General features: G+C 43.0%; 1 long non-coding RNA gene across 1 annotated transcript, besides 8 other annotated features; it reads left to right on the plus strand.

The window, feature by feature from the left end:
- Positions 221 to 1,126: an enhancer, noted in NCBI's record as "H3K27ac hESC enhancer chr20:52352121-52353026 (GRCh37/hg19 assembly coordinates)". NCBI's record gives its function as "activates a minimal SCP1, AML or CMV promoter by ChIP-STARR-seq in naive H9 embryonic stem cells {active_cell/tissue: H9 hESC(naive)}" and the evidence as "EXISTENCE:reporter gene assay evidence [ECO:0000049][PMID:30033119]".
- Positions 1,127 to 2,030: an enhancer, noted in NCBI's record as "NANOG-H3K27ac-H3K4me1 hESC enhancer chr20:52353027-52353930 (GRCh37/hg19 assembly coordinates)". NCBI's record gives its function as "activates a minimal SCP1, AML or CMV promoter by ChIP-STARR-seq in primed H9 embryonic stem cells {active_cell/tissue: H9 hESC(primed)}" and the evidence as "EXISTENCE:reporter gene assay evidence [ECO:0000049][PMID:30033119]".
- Positions 1,402 to 6,439, plus strand: LOC124904933 (uncharacterized). The gene is made up of 2 exons (XR_007067660.1): positions 1,402 to 3,497; positions 5,043 to 6,439. It is a non-coding gene; the product is annotated as an uncharacterized LOC124904933 (long non-coding RNA).
- Positions 2,031 to 2,934: an enhancer, noted in NCBI's record as "H3K27ac-H3K4me1 hESC enhancer chr20:52353931-52354834 (GRCh37/hg19 assembly coordinates)". NCBI's record gives its function as "activates a minimal SCP1, AML or CMV promoter by ChIP-STARR-seq in primed H9 embryonic stem cells {active_cell/tissue: H9 hESC(primed)}" and the evidence as "EXISTENCE:reporter gene assay evidence [ECO:0000049][PMID:30033119]".
- Positions 5,209 to 5,503: a silencer, noted in NCBI's record as "tiled region #8160; K562 Repressive DNase unmatched - State 5:Enh". NCBI's record gives its function as "represses a minimal TATA promoter and a strong SV40 promoter by Sharpr-MPRA in K562 cells {active_cell/tissue: K562}" and the evidence as "EXISTENCE:reporter gene assay evidence [ECO:0000049][PMID:27701403]".
- Positions 12,890 to 13,483: an enhancer, noted in NCBI's record as "H3K27ac-H3K4me1 hESC enhancer chr20:52364790-52365383 (GRCh37/hg19 assembly coordinates)". NCBI's record gives its function as "activates a minimal SCP1, AML or CMV promoter by ChIP-STARR-seq in primed H9 embryonic stem cells {active_cell/tissue: H9 hESC(primed)}" and the evidence as "EXISTENCE:reporter gene assay evidence [ECO:0000049][PMID:30033119]".
- Positions 15,427 to 15,928: an enhancer, noted in NCBI's record as "H3K27ac hESC enhancer chr20:52367327-52367828 (GRCh37/hg19 assembly coordinates)". NCBI's record gives its function as "activates a minimal SCP1, AML or CMV promoter by ChIP-STARR-seq in primed H9 embryonic stem cells {active_cell/tissue: H9 hESC(primed)}" and the evidence as "EXISTENCE:reporter gene assay evidence [ECO:0000049][PMID:30033119]".
- Positions 19,217 to 19,266: an enhancer, noted in NCBI's record as "active region_18134". NCBI's record gives its function as "activates an Ori minimal core promoter by ATAC-STARR-seq in GM12878 lymphoblastoid cells {active_cell/tissue: GM12878}" and the evidence as "EXISTENCE:reporter gene assay evidence [ECO:0000049][PMID:35858748]".
- Positions 19,297 to 19,376: an enhancer, noted in NCBI's record as "active region_18135". NCBI's record gives its function as "activates an Ori minimal core promoter by ATAC-STARR-seq in GM12878 lymphoblastoid cells {active_cell/tissue: GM12878}" and the evidence as "EXISTENCE:reporter gene assay evidence [ECO:0000049][PMID:35858748]".

The following is a 22,185-nucleotide window of genomic DNA, read 5'->3' on the forward strand; positions in this document are numbered from 1 at the left end:
ACTTGAACCCGGGAGGTGGAGGTTGCAGTGAACTGAGATTGTGCCACTGCACTCCAGCCTGGGCAACAAGAGCAATACTTCGCCTCAAAAAAAAAAAAAAAAAAAAAAAAGGAAAAGTACTTATTTATACTCCAATACTGTTCTGAACATTTTGTAAGTAATAACTTAATAATCCTTACAATGACAGTGTGCCAGTGGGCTAAGAATTATTATCTCTCCGTTTTCCAGATGATGAAACTGAGACACAGAGAGGTAGACAAGTTACCCAAGGTCACATGCTAGTATGTCGGAGAGCTGTGCTTAAACCCCGGCGGTCTGGCTGCAGTTTATGCTCTTAATCATCAGCCTATGGTATTTCCTTTAGCCTTAGGAATTGATGTGAGACTAACCAGGTATTTAGCAATGCACAGCTCTAAATAGCCTCTCCAGTATTTCAAACCACGGCAGGGCAGGTTCCTTTACAAGATAGTCAAACAGGACATAAGTGTATTACTCTGCTATTTATATACCTCCATGGCTCTAGAAGGCAAACAAAGACTCCTGAAATTTAATAATCTCCTCCAGAAACTTAGCTTCAGCAACACACACACACATTCTCTCTCTCTGTGTCTCTCTCTCTCTCTCTCTCTGTCTCTCTCCAAAAGCCCCAAACCTTCAAGCTCCCAAATAATCAATGATGACCACTCTCAGTGCTGGACTGAACGATAATATTACAGTCACTTCTTATTCAGAGGTAGTGCTCAACTTCCCCATTATTTATTGATTTTCCCCCAAAGTTATCAAGTTCTAAAGCCTAATTATTGGTGTAATAGCTGAGATGTTAAGAGAATTGTAAGCCCCTTTAGCTAATGCATGGCATATGTTGAAGGGATTCAGCTAATTCACATATCTGTCTGCACTATTAATAGAGAAGGTTACATGCCAATTATCCAGGCTTCAATCAGCCTGTTTGGATACAATAGAGGCAGTGTTCACACACTTGATGTGCCACATTCCTTCCCGACATCAGAAGCAGCTGGTCCAGATAAAGACCGCTGGGGTTTTGATATTTAGGAATCACGTCCACGGAAGAGCTGGAGTTGAGACTTGATTGCTTCATGGACAAATTCCCTGCAGGTATCTTTAACCTGGACTCTTTTGAAAAATGCCTAGTAGGTTTGCAGTTCACTGGGCTTTACACTTTTCCTGCTCAGACTTGTTGGGTGGGTGGGTGGGTGGAGGTGCTGAGGAAGAGGAGAAAGACAAAGGAGCAAATAGCTCCAAGGACAAAGCAGGGAATAATAGGAACGGGCAAATGGATTCCAATAAAATAAAGAACCCGCACACATTCTTGTGCCCAGTTTTAGAACCAAACAGGCTAAGACATTTTCCTCCTAAGAGCTCAACTTCGTGTGTTGAAAAATAGGTGGATGGATAAATATCTCTGTATATTTCACCTGCATTCTTTTCTTTTTATTTTTTTCCCCTTTCATTTCTTTTTTTCCTCTGATTCAGAAGCTGGACTGGAAGTGTTGTAATATCATCAGAAAATGCTGCTTCCGGTGGTATTTTTAACCAGGAACAGAAGCTGAAGTGTCTGAAACCACCGGAGAAAGCCCCTGCTCTCCTGAGAGCTGTTCTCTAATTTTGCTGGCAGAGAGCATTGGATCAGTGATCAGAAAGTTAAAATGGCAGATGTTGGGGCTTCTAGGGGGAGGGGAGGCAGATACCTGATACTCTCCGGCATTTGTTTTTTTATCCTTCCCCTTACCTTCCTTTCTCGGATCACAATATCCTTCCCCTTACCTTCCTTTCTCAGATCACAAAACAGAGCTGGCGTCCACTTTTCTAAGGTCACACAGCCAAATGCTGGCACAACAGTAAACAAACAAACAAACAAAAAACAACCATCCCCAGGACCTGCCTCTCAGGCTGCATCCTGACCCTCCTGACATTTCTCAAATACAGCAGCAGACCTCAATACTTTTTACAAAAATCACCAAAAGCTAATCAACAACAGGCAGATAGCCCATGTCAGCCGTTGTTTCATGTGCTATTTCAGCTCCGTGTGTATTTTTTCACCCTCCCAGATGAAAATACAGTAATTAACTCCATACAGAGGGGGGATGGAGGGAGGAAACTCCCTTTTTTTTTTCCCTTCCCCTAGACTTGAAAAGAAATTCTGGCAGATAATTTGGCTGAACATGAAAAGGGAGAGGCTGCTTACAGCCGCCCAGATAAAGTGCTAGGTTGGTGAGGCTTTGCGGGCTAAGTTGGTTATTTCACGCCATGAAAAGCAGACATTTATCTGTTCCCATGGAGATGTGATTTCTACTAGTCAATCAGGCACTGGGGAGGTCAGACAATAGCCAGTGGTTCCCTTTTTCATCTCAAGAGACAGTCCATTCCTGTTCTATTGTAACATTTCACCTACATTTAAAGGAATCTAAATGATCTCTCCGAAATACCTGCAGACGCAGCCATTATATTTTCAAGTGATCAAAATTAGCAGACATTCCAGCTGCCTCAGAGGTAGACGGGGCGTGCCCCCCACCCCCCAGTTTCAGATCATAGGTTGTTCCAGCACCATCCTTATTTGGATAATTTTGGCTTCCACACTTGATCCTTCCCTCCTGAATAAAATAATAAGGTCATAAATTACATGTTAAAATTTGGGGAGTGGGCAGAGGACTTCAAACAGAACATCGCGGGAGCAAGAGAACGCTGCCCAGAAGAGAGCAAAGCCCAGAACTACTGCAAGTTTGATAAACTGTAAACTTTGTTCCCGGTCACAGGACTGGGAACCGCCTGAAAACTGCACATGCAGAAATGATTAGGGCTGTTATTTGATCTTCAGTGTTTGCTATCAATCCCAGAAAGCAGATCATGTCTATTTGCCAAATATGTTTATTTCAGTAGGTGAATTGCAGTGTAAGCACCTAGAAACTAGGATTCACATAAGGACTTTGAAAATGATCTCCGAAGTGTCTCTTTTTCCCGCATCATTTTCACACATGCCTAAGGCAGAAGAAAACGTAACGGGGGTGGGGGGCCTTCTTCGAGCTAATTGAGAAGCAAGAGGCTATTTCCATGGGATCCCATTTGAAAACGCTGTCTGAGAGGCTTTTCCAACTCTCAGAGCATATTTGAGACGCAGACTGTCAAATGTGACTTACACAGAAGGCCGTTCACAGGATGGCAGCGTAACAGAAAACAGCAGACAGGCAAGGCCATTAAGTAACTTCATGCTTGTTAATGGGAGTCACTCAAGTGCAGCTCAACTGCGCAAGGCAGGAAAGTAAACACAAATACGACTCCTGGTTTGCCACAAGCCCGGCCTCTGTAGTGAGAGAGCTGTGACTGCGTTTCCAGCTCCTTGAAGGCAGAGAGACTCCTGCCTTTCGGGGCGGGCGGGCTGGAACAAAGACACCAACGGGGCCACCTCGGAAAGTCTTTTTGAGCAGTTTCAGCAAATAGCATTTAAGGGAAGGGAAAAAAACTCCAATGTACTCAATAAGGTACAGTATAATATCCCATTATTGAGGAGCCAAAAAGCAGGGATTTACCGCAAACGTTTTTGGGAGCTCGATTTCTCTGGAAAGACAGGGCACGCATTTCTCATGTATCGTGGGCCAGTATTTGACCATTTCCTGTGACCATTTCTTTACATAATTTTCTCAGTTTAGTTTTTAAAAATTAAAATAGAAGTCATACCTAATCTCTTTAAAACGTTCAAACAGTATAAAATTAAGGTAAAGGAGTTGAAGTTCCTCATTCCTTTTGCTCACTCCCACGCAGCTCATGATCTCACCAGAGATAGCTAATAACTACTTTTTAACAGTGTGAAACATATTTTCCAGACGTTTTCCATAAAATGCACATATACAAATACACATGCTTTGTTTTAAATACACCACTGGTATCATATTTATAGACACTGTTATACAACTTGCTTTTTTCACTTTGAGTATCGATCATGGACAATTTCCAATGTAGGTATTTTTCTAGTGAGCTATAAATTTTGGGGAACCATGTCATACATGCTCCTGGGGAAAATTCAAATTATAGGGCTTGTGGGGAAGGGTGGGTCTCCCTCCTCCCCCGCAGACAATGACTATTAGCAGTTTGTAGTGTCTCATGCCAGAAATAGTCCACGCATAGATCAGCATATATGCATATCGAACGCTCACACCTTTCTTTGTCTTTACACAAGTATCTTTCAGCTTGCATTTTCCACTTAAATCTCTTGGACAGCACTCTGTGTTAGAAAAACTTGATGTTTTAAGTGGTGGCATAGTATTTCTTTAAATGGTATTCCTTAATGTATTTCACTTGCCCTTTTTCACAGACTTTTTGGTGGCTTTCAGTGTTTGCTTCTACAAACAGTGCTACAATAAGTAGTCTGGTGTGTACCCAGTGATTCTCTGCTCAAACACACTCACTCCTTTCTGAAAGCGACTCCTATTACACCACACCTGTCCTAAAGTTGCTGTAATCCAAAGAAAAATGGATCGAATTAACTTTTTTTTTAAAACGAGGGTTTTAAGCAGAACATTATTAACCCATTAAAAATCTGTGATAATAAACTCGTGCCCTTTCCTGTGGTTTTTAGTCTCTCCTTCAGCTTGAGAGTAAGAGATTCATGAAAATGAAAAGAAAAAGTCTATCCCATCCTCACCTCCTCATCCCCTATCAGCCATGTCAAGATCACTACATAGCATCCCATGCCTGCTTATTACAAATGCATACTTCACACTGAGTAATTCCTTTCCATCTACTCCTTTCATCTTGGGCTCAGAGAAAGATCGCAGCTCACGCTTACAACTTAGGTGCAGACTTCTGCTCTTTTTTTGTGTGCAGGAGTAAAGCCACTGGGGATTTAGAACAAAGTGTGTCCTTGGAAAGAAGTGGGTAGAATTTTGTGTGTGCAGTAGGTGGGGGAGGGAACCCCCTCCCGAGGGAGGAGTTCGATTTCATTATACAGTTGGAAACCCGGTGAAATCATGTATACGACTGGATCTTTTCGCTCAGCGAGTGAGGTCTTTTTGTTCTTTGTCTTGCAGTGTGTACAGCAAATTTCTGTTGTGCCTGGGAAGAAGGAAATTTGAGTTAAAGAGGAGGCCCGCTCCATATGCCTTGTCACAAGTACACTCACTGAAACATTAATTCACGAAGAGATTGCAACAAGACCAAAACGAAAGAGGAACAGGGCCTGACAATGTTCAGAGAAGGAAAACCGAAGAAGTAACCATCCCCAAGTTAAAAATGACGTGGGGATGAAAAAATAGGTTGCCTGTTGTATTTGTCATTGAAATGCACAATCTTGTTTACTGTTTATCTTGAGACTCTGGGAGCTCTCCTGCTGCTTAGGAAAAAAGAGGCAAAGGTTTAGGAAGAAATGCTAGTCATAAGAAAGAGAGGCATTAGAAACCCTAGAGAGAATGGGAGGTGTAAATAGTATGTGGGCATTTGGCAATCACCACAAAGAAATGGGAGACAAAGGCAAGTGTCTGATGCCAGAAATCCTAAAAACTTGAGTGGAAAACCCAGACACAATAAAAATGTCCAAAAGAAAAAAAAGGCAAAATCCCATGAGATCTTTTTTTTTCTCTGTGATGTTACCTAATGGAGAAAATAAAGGTGGGTTTTGCCACAGTGATCATGGTGCCGTATCCTAAAGGAAGTAGCTTCATGATAAGCCTTCAGAGGCTCTCTCCAGGCCAGCCCCAGCCTTAGGACAAAATGGGACAATCTTGGGGGACAATTTCTTTCTCCAAAAAGGGGATGAGATTGGGCAGAAGAAACACTTGCAGGGCAGAGTTATTATCTCTCTCCCCGAAGAGTTTAATCAATTGTGGTCATTTACAGATCTCTGTCGTTGTCCTTTTCTCTCTCCCTCTTTCTTTTTCTTTCTTTCTTTCTTTCTTTCTTTCTTTCTTTCTTTCTTTCTTTCTTTTTCTTTCTTCTTTCTTTCTTTTTCTTTCTCTCTCTTTCTTTTTTTCTTTTCTTCTTTCTTTCTGATGACTTTGCCTTGAAAGGAATTGCTTAGGAAAGAGGGAAAAGGCATTTTTAGTCAAAAGCTAAGCTAAGATCAAATTAAATCGGGCAATGGAAACCTCCTCTGGAGGCTGTGCAGTAGAGTGTGACACCTCCTAATTTCATGACTTGGGCAGATTGCTTCATTTTCCTACTGTAAAAAAAAGGAAAACGATAATAACAGGTAATGTTTATTGAACTCCTACATGGAATAAGTATTTTATACACAGATCCATTTCACCCTCTGAATCTAATGAGGTAGTATAATTATTATCTCCGTTTTATAGATGAGTGGAGGCTCAGATCACCCAGCTAGAAAATGGAGATAGAATATAATTCTAGATCAGGGGTTAGCAATGACCGCCTGAGGGCCAAATTCTGCTCAGTATGTGTTTTTGTAAATAAAGTTTTATTGGAACCTAGACTTATTTGCTTATATATGGCCTGTGGCTGTTTTTCAGCTGTAATAGCAGACACTGTATGACCCATGAAACCCAAAAATTTACTCTTTACAAAAACCTTTACAGATTTTTGATCTAGATTATCCTAGCCCGTGCTCTTAATCTCACATATGTCCTGCTCCAAAAATACCTTTTTTTTTTTTTTTTTTGAGGTGATGTCTCCCTCTGTAGCCCAGGCCGGAGTGCAGTGGTGTGATCTTAGCTCACTGCATCTCCACCTCCCAGGTTCAAGCCATTCTTGTGCCTCAGCCTCCCAAGTAGCTGGGACTACAGGCCTGTACCACCACGCCCGGCTAATTTTTGTCTTTTTGGTAGAGATGGGGTTTCTCCATGTTGGCCAGGCTGGTCTCGAACTCCTGACCTCAAGTGATCCACCAGCCGCGGCCTCCCACAGTGCTGGGATTACAGGTGTGAGCCACCACGCCTGGCTAGAAAAATGCCTCATTTTAAAAATGTGATGCTGACCAGGAAAAACAAAACTAAAATGTCAAAAGTAATAATAGTTATTAGATAACTGAATCTATTAGGGGTCCAGGAAAATTAAAAACAAAACAAAGTTTTTAAAATTTGTGTTCCCCCTTTCTCCTTTTTTTCCGCCAAAACTTGAAAATGTTTATATCCTGAATTTACAACAAAGGAAAAACCTTTTCTGCCTCATCAGCTTTATTGAAACTACATATAAATGCTTATCTAAAAACCAAAAGTATATGCTAGGGAAATTTCCAAAATAATGAAAAAAATGGTTTTCCAGAAGACAAACATTATTTTTCATATATATTATTTTATTTATTTATTTATTCCGATAAGCATTTTGCACTTATTTATTTATTTATTGACACAGGGTCTCACTCTGTTGCCCAGGCTGGAGTGCAGTGGCAAAATCATGGCTCACTACAGCCTCGACCTCCTGGGCTTAAGTGATCCTCCTGCCTCAGCCTCTGGAGTAGCTGGGACTACAGACATGCACATCACCCCACCTCACATATATGTTATTGGCAAAATTGCAAGTAGAATACATTGTTAAAGTAAGAAGCTTCCATGTTTGAATGTGATATTTACAGATAGGTAAACTGGGGATTGGCTCTTGGAAATTGATTCGTGTTGCCATGTGAGCTAAATTGCTGTTTTCAGTGTTCTAATATGGCTTAATTTTTCATGGGTTTCCAGGATCGATGAATGTAGCCACATAACATATCCAGGTTTTAAAAATGTTAGTGAACAAGATTAATAATAGTATCTTCTGTCTGGGCACACTGGCTCACGCCTGTAATCCTAGCACTTTGGCGGCTGAGATGGGAGGATTTCTTGAGGCCAGGAGTTCGAGACCAGCCTGGTCAATAGAGTGAGACTCCTTCTCTATTTATAAAAAGAAAATTTAAGGCCGGGCATGGTGGCTCACACCTATTATCCCAGCACTTTGGGAGGCCGGGGCAGGCAGATCACTTGAGGTCAGGAGTTTGAGACCAGCCTGGCCAACATGGCAAAACCTGTCTCTACTAAAATATAAAAATTAGCTGGGCATGGGGTGGCACATGCCTGTGATCCCAGCTACTTGGGAGGTTGAGGCGGGAGAATCGCTTGAACCCAGGTGGTGGAGGTTGCAGTGAGCCAAGATCGTGCCATTGCACTCCAGCCTGGGCGACAAGAGTGAGACTCTGTCTCGAAAATAAAAAATAAAATATAAAATATAAAAATAAAAATAAATAATATCTTCTGTGTTTCCAAAATTCCAGGCCCCTTGCTCTGAGTTCTGAATATTCTATGCCAAGCCTTCCTGATAACTCTATAAGGCAGATGTCATTTTCATTTTCTAGATAAGAACGAGGCCCAGGTACACCAGGTGCCTCATCTAATACATGGCTGAATGACCTCAAATCCCATACTTTTTTTTTCCTCTAAGAGGAGGCCTGTGTTCGATTGTTCGTCTTTTCATTCAGGCAAATTCTTACCTACTTCAGAGCATACCAGGTGCCAGGCACTGCCCTGTGTTCTGGGAATCCGGGAGTGAACAAGACAGATAGTAACTCAGTTGTAGTCAATGAACAGGATATTTTCAGGTGAAGAGGAGGAATGCTAGGAAGGAAACGACACGGGATAGAAGAGACAGAAAGTGATCAAAGTTGGGTGCAGCAATAGGGGCCGCAGAGGCTAAGGAAGAGGCTTGAATGATGAACGCAAGCCACGAGGTGAAGATCTAGACCCCTGAAGAGAGTTCCAGGCAGAGGAAACAGCAAAGCCTCCCTCCCTCCCTCCCTCCCTCCCTTCCCTCCCTCCCTCTCTCCCTCCCTCTCTCTCTCCCTCCCCCTTCCCGCCTGCCTGCCTGCCTTTCTTCCTTCCTTTTTTTGAGACAGGATCTCTCTCTGTCACCCAGGTGGGAATACAGTGGCGCGATCATGGCTCACTGCATCCTCAATCTCCCAGGCTCAGGTGATCCTCCCACCTCAGCCTCCCAAGTAGCTGGGACTACAGGCACGTGCCACCATTCCCCACTACTTTTTGTATTTTTTTGTAGAGATGAGTTTTTGCCATGTTGCCCATGCTGGAGCCACATTTCTTGAAGTGGGAGACATCGTGGTATGTTGAGAAAATATGTTGATTCTTTATGACTTTTCCCAATTCAGGAGTCACTTAACCCTTGTCCAAGCTTGAGGGTCTTAGGTGCTGCTTTCTTTTTTTATTTTTAAACTTTCTATTATTGTTATTTTTGAGACAGTCTTGCTCTGTCGCCCAGGCTGGAGTGCAGTGGCGCGATCTCAGCTCACGGCAAACTCTACCTCCCGGGTTCAAGTGATTCTCAGCTTCCCTGAGTACCTGGGACTACAGGCATGCGTTAGGTGCTGCTTTCTAAGTGCCAAGGTTACCTGAGGGTTTGTCCTCAGGTCTATGAAATGTGGCTCTGATTTCCTAACATCTTTCTTTCTCTTTCCCTTTGTCAGACAGGGGAGCAAGGTGTTCCTCATTCATTTGTGATTGGAAACAGTAAGTTACCAGTCACTGAGTACATGCTGTGTATTGTGCTAACTGCTTAGTTGTATTACCTTATTTAATCTGCAAACAACCCAATGGAATATTGTGGAATAGTAGTCTTAAAACAGAAGCATGCCCCCTCTATCTTCCTTTCTCCGCCATCGTGGTGTGCGCTTGACTCTGCTTCTTGCCATGTCTTCTCACAAGACTTTCAGGATTAAGCGATTCCTGCCAAGAAACAAAAGCAGGCTGGGCGCAGTGGCTCACGCCTGTAATCCCAACACTTTGGGAGACTGAGGTGGGTGGATCATGGGGTCAGGAGTTCAAGACCAGCCTGGCCAATATGGTGAAACCCTGTCTCTACTAAAAATACAAAAATTAGCTGGGCATGGTGGTGCATGCCTGTAATCCCAGCTACTTGGAGGCTAAGGCAGGATAGTTGCTTGAACCGGGACCCGGGAGGTGGAGGTTGCAGTGAGTCGAGATTGCGCCACTGCACTCCAGCCTGGGCTACAGAGCAAGACTCCGTCTCAAAAAAAAAAAAAAGGAACAAAAGCGAAATCGTTCCAATCCCCAGTGGATTCAGATGAAAACTGGTAATAAAATCAGGTACAGGTCAGGCATGGTGGCTCACGTCTGTAATCTGAGGTCAGGAGTTCAAGACCAGCCTGGCCAACATGGTGAACCCTCATCTCTACTAAAAATACAAAAAAATGGCCAGGCATGATGGCTCACACCTGTAATCCCAGCACTTTGGGAGACCAAGTCGGGTGGATCACAAGGTCAAGAGATTGAGACCATCCTGGCCAACATGGTGAAACCCCATCTCTACTAAAAATACAAAAATTAGCCGGGTGTGGTGGCACGTGCCTGTAATCTCAGCTACTCAGGAGGCTGAGGCAGGAGAATAGCTTGAACCCGGGAGGCGGAGGTTGTGGTAAGCCGGGATTACGCCACTGCACTCCAGCCTGGCAACAGAGTGAGACTCCATCTCAAAAACAAACAAACAAACAAACAAACAAACAAAAAAATTAGCCAGGTATGGTGGCATGCTCCTGTAATCCCAGCTACTCGGGAGGCTGAGGCAGGAGAATCACTTGAACCCAGAGGGTGGATGTTGCAGTGAGCCGAGATCGCGCCATTGCACTCTGGCCTGGGCTACAAGAGTGAGACTCTGCTTCAAAAAAAAAAAAATCAGGTACAACTCTGAAAGGTGACATTGGAGAAGAACCTTATAGACATTGGGTCTATAAGGAATTGCACACGAGATAGCATATATTTATGCTGTATCAAGGTCATGATGATCTTACCATATCAAGCTGAAAATGTCACCACTATTTGAACCATCGGACATGTTTTATTGGGAATGTATTTTTTCTGTTTGTATGCTCTGAGCTAGCAGGCTGGGTTCAGTAATAAATATGTGAGAAATTTTGTTTGAAAAAAACAAAAAACAGGAGCATGCTGTACTGATTTAAGAGGATTAATTTCTAGAATCTACATGTTCATGCTTATATTTACTTATTCCGATTCCATGTGGGTCTGGGTGGGACACGAGGATCTGCATTTTTAACTAGCTTTTGGGGGATGCCAATGCTTCTGTTTTATAGAACACACTTTGATTAGCATCATTCTATACCAGAAGTTGACAAACTTTCTCTATAAAGGGCCAAATAGTTAATATTTTCAGTTTTGTAGGCCCTGAAATCTTTGTTACAAGTACTCAATTCTGCTATTGCAGCAGGCAGAAACATGTAAATGGATGGATGTGGCTGTGTTCTAATAAAACTTTATGTATTTTTTATTTTTTGTTGAGACGGAGTCTCGCTCTGTGGCCCAGGCTGCAGTGCAGTGGCGCAATCACAGCTCACTGCAAGCTCCGCCTCCCAGGTTGACTCCATTCTCCTGCCTCAGCCTCCCGAGTAGCTGGGACTACAGGCGCCCGCCAGCATGTCTGGCTAATTTTTTTGTATTTTTAGTACAGACGGGGTTTCATCTTGTTAGCCAGGATGGTCTCGATCTCCTAACCTCGTGATCCGCCCGACTTGGCCTCCCAAAGTGCTGGAATTACAGGCGTGAGCCACCGCACCCGGCCAAAAACTTTATTTATAAAAACAGATGGTGGGCCAGATTCCTTGCAGTTGCAGTTTGCTGACTCTTGGCTTAGACCAATCATGGTTCATCTCCTGGACTCATCTCCTCTGAATATATTGCTGACTAAAGGCTGAACCAGTAGGGATTCTCCTAGTCAAGGAAGACATAGGTGAGGATTCCTGAGAAGCATGTCAATTCCTGTGATCTAAGCCATTGGCATGGAGCAATTCTTAGGTTATTTTTGGTGGAGGTAAGTGTTAGTGATTCCCCCACAACCTAGCTACAGTTTATCATAAAATCAAATCTTGGCTGGGCGCGGTGGCTCACGCCTGTAATCCTAGCACTTTGGGAGGCCGAGGTGGGTGGATCACGAGGTCAGCATTTCGAGACCAGCCTGGCCAACATAGTGAAACCTCTTCTCCACTAAAATTACAAAAATTAGCCAGGCTTGGTGGCGGGCACCTGTAATCCCAGCTACTTGGGAGGCTGAGACAGGAGAATGGCTTGAACCCAGGAGGCGGAGGTTGCAGTGAGCCGAGACCACACCATTGCACTCCAGCCTGGGTGACAGAGTAAGATTCCGTCTCAAAAACTCAATCAATCATTCAATCAAATGTCAGTCCAAATTCTGCTACTCTTTTTGTTTTTTTCTTTTTTTTTTTTTGAAACAAGAGTTTCGCTCTTGTTACCCAGGCTGGAGTGCAATGGAGTGATCTTGGCTCACTGCAATCTCCCCCTACCAGGTTCAAGAGATTCTCCTGCCTCAGCCTCCCAAGTAGCTGGGATTACAGGCACCCACCACCACGCCTGGCTAATTTTTGTACTTTTAGTAGAGATGGGGTTTCACCATATTGGCCAGGCTGGTCTCGAACTCCAGACCTCAGATGATACACCTACCTCGGCCTCCCAAAGTGCTGGGATTACAGGAGTGAGCCACTGCGCCCGGCCCAAATTCTACTACTCTTATAGCCAAATATTTATTAGCAAAGCAGGCACAAAACAGTTCATACAACCTGTTCTGAAAGGTTGTTGACAAAGTCCCAGCATTTTGTTCTTTTTTTCCTTTATTATTATCTTTATTATTAAATTTAATTTAGTTTTTGGCTGGAATCAAATGACTGGTATATTATTATTTTCAATTGACACATAATAGTGATACATATTCATGGGGTACAGCGTGACATTTCACTACATGTATACAATGTGTAATAATCAAATCGGGATAATCAGCATAGCCATCACCTCTAACATTCATAATTTCCTCGTGTTGTGAACATTCAGAATCCACTCTTGTAGCTATTTGAAAATATAAAATAAATTGTTGTTAATGATAGTCATCCTATGTACCCTATACAGCCTAGCACTCCGTTCTTATAGGTGCTCTGGTCACACCCTGCAGGAAGGGTGTATTCAAAGCAGGCATAACAACATTCCAAAAGCTGGGCCCTGTGCTCTCTGGCCTGTATGAGGCAATCAGAAATTCTCTTAAACCAGTGACTGGAACAGAATCAGTTAGTGAATGAGGCAGGGAAGGGTATAGGTGAAGGGTAAAGGGTTGCATCCTGTATCACATTCTAGTCAATCTACTTGTCCTGAGTACCTTAATTCCACCAATGAAAATCCATTTGTAATATCGTCATGCAAATTAACTAGTCACTAGTTTCACCAATAGAAACCCTATTCCTGAACTGCAGGAAGCACTCGCAATACCTGTGGCCGGAGTGTGGACCTTTCTAACATTGTGCTTGCGAACCATCCTGAACAACATATTCTTCATTGCTGATTAGCTGACCCCTCTTATTATACAGCCAAGCTTAGACTCACTGTATGGATAGTTTAGCTCGCTGATTAATTACACTGAAGTATGTTCAAGTAAAGTACAGATCTGGTAACCAACTATGTCTACTACAGGGCTTGTGGCAAGGATAGGGATGATGTGGTTAAAATCCTGGCAGACAGTGGGCACTTATTTAAAAAAAAAGAGAGGAATAAAGAGTGCTATGACTGCTGTTCAGAGAACTTGTCAGAAGTAAAGTAATACCAGTCTGCGTGTGTGTGTGCGTGTGTGTGTGCATGTGTGTCTGTGTGTGTGCGCATCTGTGTGTGTGAGTGTGTGTGTGTGTGTGTGTGTGTGCTCTCAGCCATATGGCTTCCTGTGCTTTCTGTGCTTTTCTGATTTTACAAGGTAGAGGTACAGACAAGAAAAAGGAGGCACTGATTGGATAAGAGCTGGGTTCAAATCTAGTTTGTTGCTCACTAGCTGTGTAAGTTTGTCAGTTGCTAGGTAAGTTGTTAAAACTTTACAAGCAGTGGTGTAGCACAGCTCAAAGTAGAAAATAGTGCTGTTGGTTTTCCCCTCTGCAGTTGTCAAGAAGGGGCCTCATATGCAACATGGGGATAATGATGGTGATGATTAAGTAAGAAGGCGTGTGAGACAGAGTCTACTGCCTGCACACAGCAAGCTCTTGGTAAATGTTGTCTGCCATTATCCTCATCCCGATTTCGCAGATCAAGGCTTACAGAGCTTAAGTGATGCTCTCAAAGACAGAGGCAGAGCCTGGGAAAATAACAGCTACACAACAGTGCCACCCACACCAAAATAATATATTCCAGGGGTATGGTGAATCTTTTACCTAAGGCTTTTCTAGAAATTAAGGACACCTATCAGTGATTTGAGTCTTACATTTAAATGACAACGTTGAAAAAGTATTTAAACAGGGTCTTTGGCCAGTGTAGGCTGCATTAGATTTAAAAAAAAAAACAGTTATCCAAGTTCTTGCTTTTCTGTGTCCAGAAAGTTCTGAGATTAGGGGTCTTTATCAACTGTAGGGGGCACTTATCCTTGGTCTCCCATCTGAACCTGCTTGTTAAACTTGGGGAGTTTCTCCCCTGTTATTCTTGGTAGGAAGCAGTATTGGTTTTTCACCACAGAAACTGAAAATGTCAAAAATTGATTTCCAGTCCTCCTGAGGGATTTAGGGTCACCCAAATCCTGTATGATATCATCTTACTCAATTACATCTGCAAAAATCCTATGTCCAAGAAGGTACCATTCTGAGGTTCTGGGCAGACATGAATTTTGGGAGTAGCAGGGAGACTCTATTCGGCTCTCTACGCCTACTAATAATCTTTATTTATTTTTATTTTTTTGAGATAGAGTCTTGCGCTGTCACCCAGGCTGGAGTACAGTAGTGCGATCTCAGCTCACTATAGCCTCCACCTCCCGGTTTCAAACAATTCTCCTGCCTCAGCCTCTCGAGTAGCTGGGATTATAGGCAGCCGTCACCACACCTGGCTAATTTTTATATTTTTAGTAGAGACAGGGTTTCGCCATGTTTAATGTGAGAAATATTTCATGCCTGTAATCCCAGCACGGCCTATATTTCTCACATTTAATGCGACCTTTGTATGTTTCTTTCCTTTTTTTTTTCCTTTGAGATGGAGTCTTGCTCTTGTCACCCAGGCTCGAGTGCAATGGCACGATCTCAGCTCACTGCAACCTCTGCCTCCCTGATTCAAGCGATTCTCCTGCCTCAGCCTCCCAAGTAGCTGGGATTATAGGCGCCCACCACCACGCCCAGCTAATTTTTGTATTTTTAATAGAGATGGGGCTTCACCATGTTGGCCAGGCTGGTCTCGAACTCCTGATCTTGTGATCTGCCCGCCTTGGCCTCCCAAAGTGCTGGGATTACAGGCGTGAGCCAGTGCGCCTGGCCAGATCTTTGTATGTTTCTTTGTGGATATATTGATGTATCAGATGGTACAGGGAGTGCTGCCCCGACCCCGCTGGAGGTGCAATGTAATATCAGATATAGGCACCGCATTACATTTCTAAAATATAAAAAGTGTAGAATTCCAAAGTGTATTGGGCTATAAGGGTTTGGATAATAAATTTGGATGTATATTTTACGTCATTTTAAAGCTGAGGAATAGAGACACTAAATACCAGCGCCGGTGAGTGACAGTGCCTGGACTGGAATCCAGGGATCGGAGTTCTGAGTTGAGTCTCTAACCACTAGGCTCTCTTAAGAGAGGTAGACTGATGCTTATTAACTGCATGAACGAAGGAGTAAAGGAGGCTGACTGGGCCTTGTTCCAATTCCTGGGCTGTTTTGCCTGCTGCTAGGGAGATTCCTATCTTTCTCTGGCAGAACATCTTTCTAAGCCCCGTGCTGCAGCTGTAAGTGTGCGTGCGAAACATGCATGGACACACACCACACACACACAGACTCACACCTTGGAGAGGAGCTGCATGCTGTTATATTTCCTGGAGCTTTGTGGCTGCCTGTTGTTTCAGCGATCTCATCTTTATGAATGAGGCGACAGAACCCACTAGTAACCAGGCGAGGGAGTGAAAACAGATGCTTTTCCAGCCAGGCAGGGCTGTGCTGAGCAGTTTGTCACTGGTTAAACCTCTGTCTCCATCAAGACACACTCCCTGTAAAAAATGATTACCGTTCTCTCTCTCTGACTTTAGGAACTGCTCCGGTCCTGAAAACTCAAAGTCACAGCTAACAGGAAAAGGATAATTTGTCTGTTGGATACTTAGACCAGAATAAGGCAATGGGGTACAGTGATGCTATTTCTGAAAGTGTGAAGGCCTAATTTCCTCCAGCCAAGAGAGGAAGTGAGCCTGCTTTGCGTGCTTGAAAGCTTCCTTGAGAGGAGGTGAGGTTGCCTCTAGAAGGCAGTGGAAAATCAACGTGGTTTTAAGTGAGCAAAAGTCTTCAAAAAAGCCTCAGGAATAAGATAGGCTATAGGTTTGGCCAAGGACAGACCATCAAGCAATATTGTTGATTGAAACACAGTTGTAGAAAGGTGAATACTGTATGATTTCCTCTACGTTTAAAAAAAGGACATGTATCTGCACGTGTGTGTGTGTGTTTAGATGTGTAAAAATATTTAAAAAAGGACGAGAAGAATACTCTCTTACCATTAACACAGGAAGTAAATAAAAAATGGGGTGGGGGTGGGGAAAGCCATGTCAGAGGGAGAGAAGGGTGAGTTTCTATTTTCAGTCATATATACTACAGTGTTTTTCCTTTACTTCTGTAATCTAAAATAAAAATAAATAAAGTCAACTGGCAAAAGCAAACACCCAAGCAAACAACTACATAATAAACAGAAAGCCCTTTAATTTCTAAGAATCAGGAGGCTTCAGAACATGAAAGAACTTCCTGGTTCGAGGCATTCCTCGTGAAATCATGTTTGGAAGCCAATCTGGAATTCTACCCCGCCCGGAACGAGGTAGACTCCATAAAGCAGTATTGAAATTTCCCTGTTGAACAAAAAATAAATGTTTGATGCTTTCTCTCGACCTCTGTTTAAAGTTATTAACTCTTCTTTTATTTAACTTTTATTAAAGTTATTAACTCTTCTTTCAGCTTACTGCTGTGGTGGTGTGTGTGTGTGTGTGTGTGTGTATGTGTGTATGTGTATTTAAAGCATAGGAAACATCCAAATGACTAATGTTGTTTACATTCTATTCTTTAAAATACACATCATACTAGATGAAAGCATAAAACAATATCTTTAAATATTAAAGAAAAACAATCCTGTTTAAAAACCAGCCTCTTCCAGAGCCTAAGAGAGATACACTAGGCCCTTGAGGATGCTTGAGACTGTGCGCAAAAAAATTGGGGTCTTTGGTTACTCTATTGTAAAACAATCAGGTTGCATTCTGGCTTTTAGATTGTTTTAAGTGAAGTTTCACTACTTGCTTGTTACTTTTGTTTAACTTATTCCTTATAAATTGGGTTAAGTAGAAAATAGGAAGAGAAAGAGGAGCCCAAGGAAGGTGGTGATGGTAGGTAAAGCTGGGAACAGGCACCCCCCTTCTGCCTCATCTCCACTTGCAGGGACACCAGTAATTCAACAAATGGTGGCTGCCGGCAACACCTCCGGTTGAGAAGCTTTCCTGGTTATGAACCTGAAACAGGCTTTTCTTAGGAGAAGAGCATACTTAATTACTGGAATCTCAATCACATGCGCTGAAAGAATAAATGACCAGCATGGGCAGATTTTGATTAAGACTTGTCAAGGGGGAAATGATTTTCTTAAGTTTGGGATTTTTAACTTTATAAGATAGTCTTCTTGTTGGCAAAATTCGTCAGTGTCTCTGGGGCTTTCAGGCTACAGGATTGTGTTAGAAACAGTCTGTGTGCCATCACCTTTTAGAATATGTCCATATTAAATGAGGCTCAAACAAAAAACATTTTGTTTCTATATATCAAATAAAATAAAGAAAAGGTCCTTTGAAAGCTTGATCGAAACGTTAGGTTTTGTTACTGTCCTTTTCAAAGCACTATTATCATATTATTTCTTATTCGATTCTCTTAGCAACCCGGGAGGTTGTCAGAGTAAACAATCTTCGTGTTATAGATGCGGGAGAAAATGCATAAAAGGCTAACTCATGCATGTAAACAATTGGTCAGAGAGTTTAGGATTCCTAGTCTGTTTTACTCAACCTTTCAGTGAGGGCGAGTATAGTTCCTAGCAGGTTGTATTCAAGCATCTCCTCCAGGATTCATCTTGTACTAAAAGTTATGGAAAAAATCTCGATAAGCTCAATAAAATATCCAGAGAGGAGGCTTACTTAAGCACAATGCACCCCAAATCCTTACTTAAGACTTTTGGGAAGGGATTCATTTTGCCTTTGTCATCAGGTACGTGCCAGAAGCATTTGTAAGTCTTGCCAGGAACTTGACTATTTTTGCTTTGTTTATTACCTGAGCTGGTTGTGCAGCTGTTGGTCTTAGAGAACCGTACTAGATCCCTGCGAGTGGGTGGCAATGTGATTCTGCAGACACAGATAATAATTCTAGACAATCGTAGGCTCCGTTTATTCCAGGGATGTGCCCTTCATTTACAGAAAGAAGCCTGAATCAGAGAATGGAAAACAACTATGACACAGCACAGCAGGAAACAAAAGAACGGGATTGGTTCTTATTCCCCCCACCCCCGCCCCACCCTGCTTAACTTTTAGACTACGTTGTCTTAAATGTAGACTTTGATCTAAATGTTGAGTCCCTTTTCATTACAACAGTAATTCAAAAGGCAGAATCTAGATATGCCTTTTGATGATCTGTTGGTCTTTGCTTAAGGGAAAACAAATAAAAGTAACCTGGGCCAAATGCAAAACATGCAAATTAGGAATTCTGTCTCTCTCTCTCTCTCTCTCTCTCTCTCTCTCTGTGTGTGTGTGTGTGTGTGTGTGTGTGTGTGTCTGTGTGTAGCAAATAATGGGTTTCTAGCATGTGCAAAAGTGATGTAAAAATAACAACAATAATAATAATCACAGCTCACATATATGTCAGGCACTATTTTAGGTGCTTTACATTGCTTTACAAGTATTAATTCATTTAGTGCTCACATCAGCCCTATGAGGTAGATGCTGTTATTATCCTCACCTTATAGTTGGGAAAACTGAGGCATAGAGGGGTGAAGAAACTTATTGAAGTCTGGTAAGGAAGAAAAACTCAGTCGCCATCCTTGCCTTGGTGATACATGCAAACATACCCTTAGGCATGGATTCATTCCATTTTAAGCTGGCTGCCACCAACACAAACCCATTTGAGAACTCTGTGCTAATTAGAAAAAGAGGATCTCCCTCCACAGCCCAGGGCAGGAGCTGCCTTTTTGGGTTGATGGCGTTGAAGGGGATCTTCAAGAGCTCTGCGTGGCAAGCGGAGGCAGGGCTAAAATGCAATGGACTCCTTTCTGTTGGCTGGGAGCCCTGGTGTGGGGCCATACTTCCTGTTTGTGGTGATGCTGTGGCTCCCACACACACTAGTTGTGAGACTTTGGGGAGGATCCTCAATGTCTTTGAGTCTCTGTGTCTCCATCTAAAAAACTGGCATGATGCTGCTGAGCTCACACAAAGGCTTGTGATGAGGATTAAAGGTTGAATTGTATATGAAGTACTTGGTACACAGGAAGCACCAAGAAGGCAAAATTAAGCATGTGATAGAACCAGGCCAGAGTTTTTGGACTGGGTCATAAACTCCTTCATGGGAGTTTATTGGGGGGCAGAGTAGCCATTGGAGACTCATTAAAAAATACCATGGACTACATATCCCAGAAAAGGCACCGGGGTTTTTTTAGCAATGGATTATGTCTTCACTCAGTTTTTAGCATGGAAAGATGCTGGTGCTTGAATAAACTGTACCATTAAGCTATGTCCTTAATAAACTATCTTTCTCGAATTATGGTCTTGAGAGCCACGTATTGAAATAAACAGAGTGGATACCACTAAACTGGGGAATTGCTTTCAGAATGCCTCACTTGAGTCTAAATGGGCTTACAGATATTCTATGTGACGTTAATATGCCAGTGGGAAGTCACATGCCCCACATGTGCAATGAAGAATTGCCATTTAAAGTTGTGTGACTGTGGACACATTTCTTTTCTTTTCTTTTTTTTTTTTGAGACAGAGTCTCACTCTGTCGCCCAGGCTGGAATGCAGTGGTGTGATCTTGGCTCACTACAACCTCCGCCTCCTGGGTTCAAGTGATTCTCCTGCCTCAGTCTCCCAAGTAGCTGGAATTACAGGTGCACGCCACCACGCCCGGCTATTTTGTATTTTTAGTAGAGATGAGGTTTCTCCATGTTGGCCAGGCTGGTCTCGAACTCCTGACCTCAAGACATCCACCCACCTCGGCCTCCCAAAGTGCTGGAATTACAGGCGTGAGCCACTGCACTCAGCCACATTTCTTTTTTTGAGACCAGGGTCTTGCTCTGTCACCCAGGCTGGAGTGCAGTGGCACAATCATGGCTCACTACAGCCTCAACCTCCTGTGCTCAAATCATCCTCCCACCTTAGCCTCCCAAGCAGCTGGGACCACAGGCATATGCCACCACACCCGAATAATTTTTATATTTTTTTGTAGAGACAGGGTTTTACCATGTTGCCCAGGCTGGTCTCAAACTGGGCTCAAGGGATCTGCCCGTCTTTGCCTCCCAAAGTGTTGAGATTACAGGCGTGAGCCACCATTCCTGGCCTGGACACATTTCTTAGCTATGCTCTGCATTAGCTTTCTCATCTGTAAAATGGGATAATAACAGTTTCTCCTTCGTGGGCTTGTGAGGCTTACATAAGAAAGATCCATGTGAAATGTGTGGCACCATTAATGGCAAATAATAAGTGCTCAAAAAATGCCAGCTAGCTTAGTTAATTGATTATTATTATTAAATGGTATATAAACCTAAAGGCAATATTGTCATTTTCAGATTCTCTTAAATTCCTAAGTTTAACCCCACAGGAAACTATACTCAGTAGACACACAGTAATTTGTTGGCCTGTGTTGTTTCTCCTGCCTTCTTTGAGGATGCAGTATTTTTTCTTCTACCACTAGATGAGTGTAAAGTTTTGTTGCAGACTTGTACATCAGTGTCTGTCACTAGGAAGAAGCTCCAGGGCAGAAGATCAGTTGGCATCTTTAATTGCTTAAATTACTGGGACTGAAGCTCTTGGACGCCCAAAAGCCAAGGAGGAATTTTCCTGCTTGTCTTAGCATTTGGCTTGGCTTTGCTTTTTCCGCGTGCATCAAAGGCCAAGATCTAGTTTGAATGTGGAAAGTTGATGACAGTCAATAAAAGGATTTCTCTCCCCCGCTGCTTATTTGGTGAGTTAAATGCTTAGGTGATGCATCTCCAGTATATACCTTTCTATATGGTGAATGAGTTTTCCCCCTGAGTCCTGGAGAGCTGGCTGGATTAGCAAAGGTCACTTTCAGCTTTGCTGAGGTAGAACACCCACGCCCCTCTATGTAGCACATACTCCTGGGTGCCTCCCTGCGGGTTAGATTGCCTTGGCTGCCTGTAGCAAAAACTACCAAATGGTGGGTTATTAAATAGGATTTTATTTATTTTTTCCTTGTAATATGTAGTCTTAGCTTGCAGGGCTATTGGGGCATTTTAAGGAAGTTATCAAGGACCCAAACTCCTCCCTTCCAGCTTCACTATCCTTTGTGTATTGCTCTCCACCTAATGGTTTTGTTTTTTTTAAAAAAATGTGATTATCAGCCGGGCATGGTGGCTCACGCCTGTAATCCTAGCACTTTGGGAGGCCGAGGTGGGCAGATCACAAGGTCAGGAGTTCAAGACCAGCCTGGCCAACATGGTGAAACCCCGTCTGTACTAAAAATACAAAAAAAATTAGCCAGGCATGGTGGCGGGCACCTATAATTCCAGCAATTCAGGAGGCTGAGATGGAGAATTGCTTGAACCTGGGAGGCAGAGATTGCAGTGAGCTGAGATGGCACCATTGCACTCCAGCGTGGGCAACAGAGCGAGACTGTCTCAAAAAATAAAATAAAATAAAATAAAATATTAAAAAAATAAGATTATCTTTAACTTCTTTTTTTTTTGACAGAGTCTTGCTCTGTCGCCCAGGCTAGAGTGCAGTGGCGCAATCTTGGCTTACTGCAACCTCCACCTCCCAGGTTCAAGCAATTCTCCTGCCTTGGCCTCCTGAGTAGCTGGGATTACAGGCATGCATCAGCACGCTCAGCTAATTTTTCTATTTTTAGTAGAGACGGGGTTTTACCACGTTGGCCAGGCTGGTCTCAAACTCCTGACCTCAGGTCATCTGCCCGCCTCGGCTTCCCAAAGTGCTGGGATCACAGGTGTGAGCCACCGCGCCCGGCCT

This window comes from Homo sapiens, chromosome 20, assembly GCF_000001405.40.
Source record: "Homo sapiens chromosome 20, GRCh38.p14 Primary Assembly".
NCBI classification, from domain to species: Eukaryota; Metazoa; Chordata; class Mammalia; order Primates; family Hominidae; genus Homo; species Homo sapiens.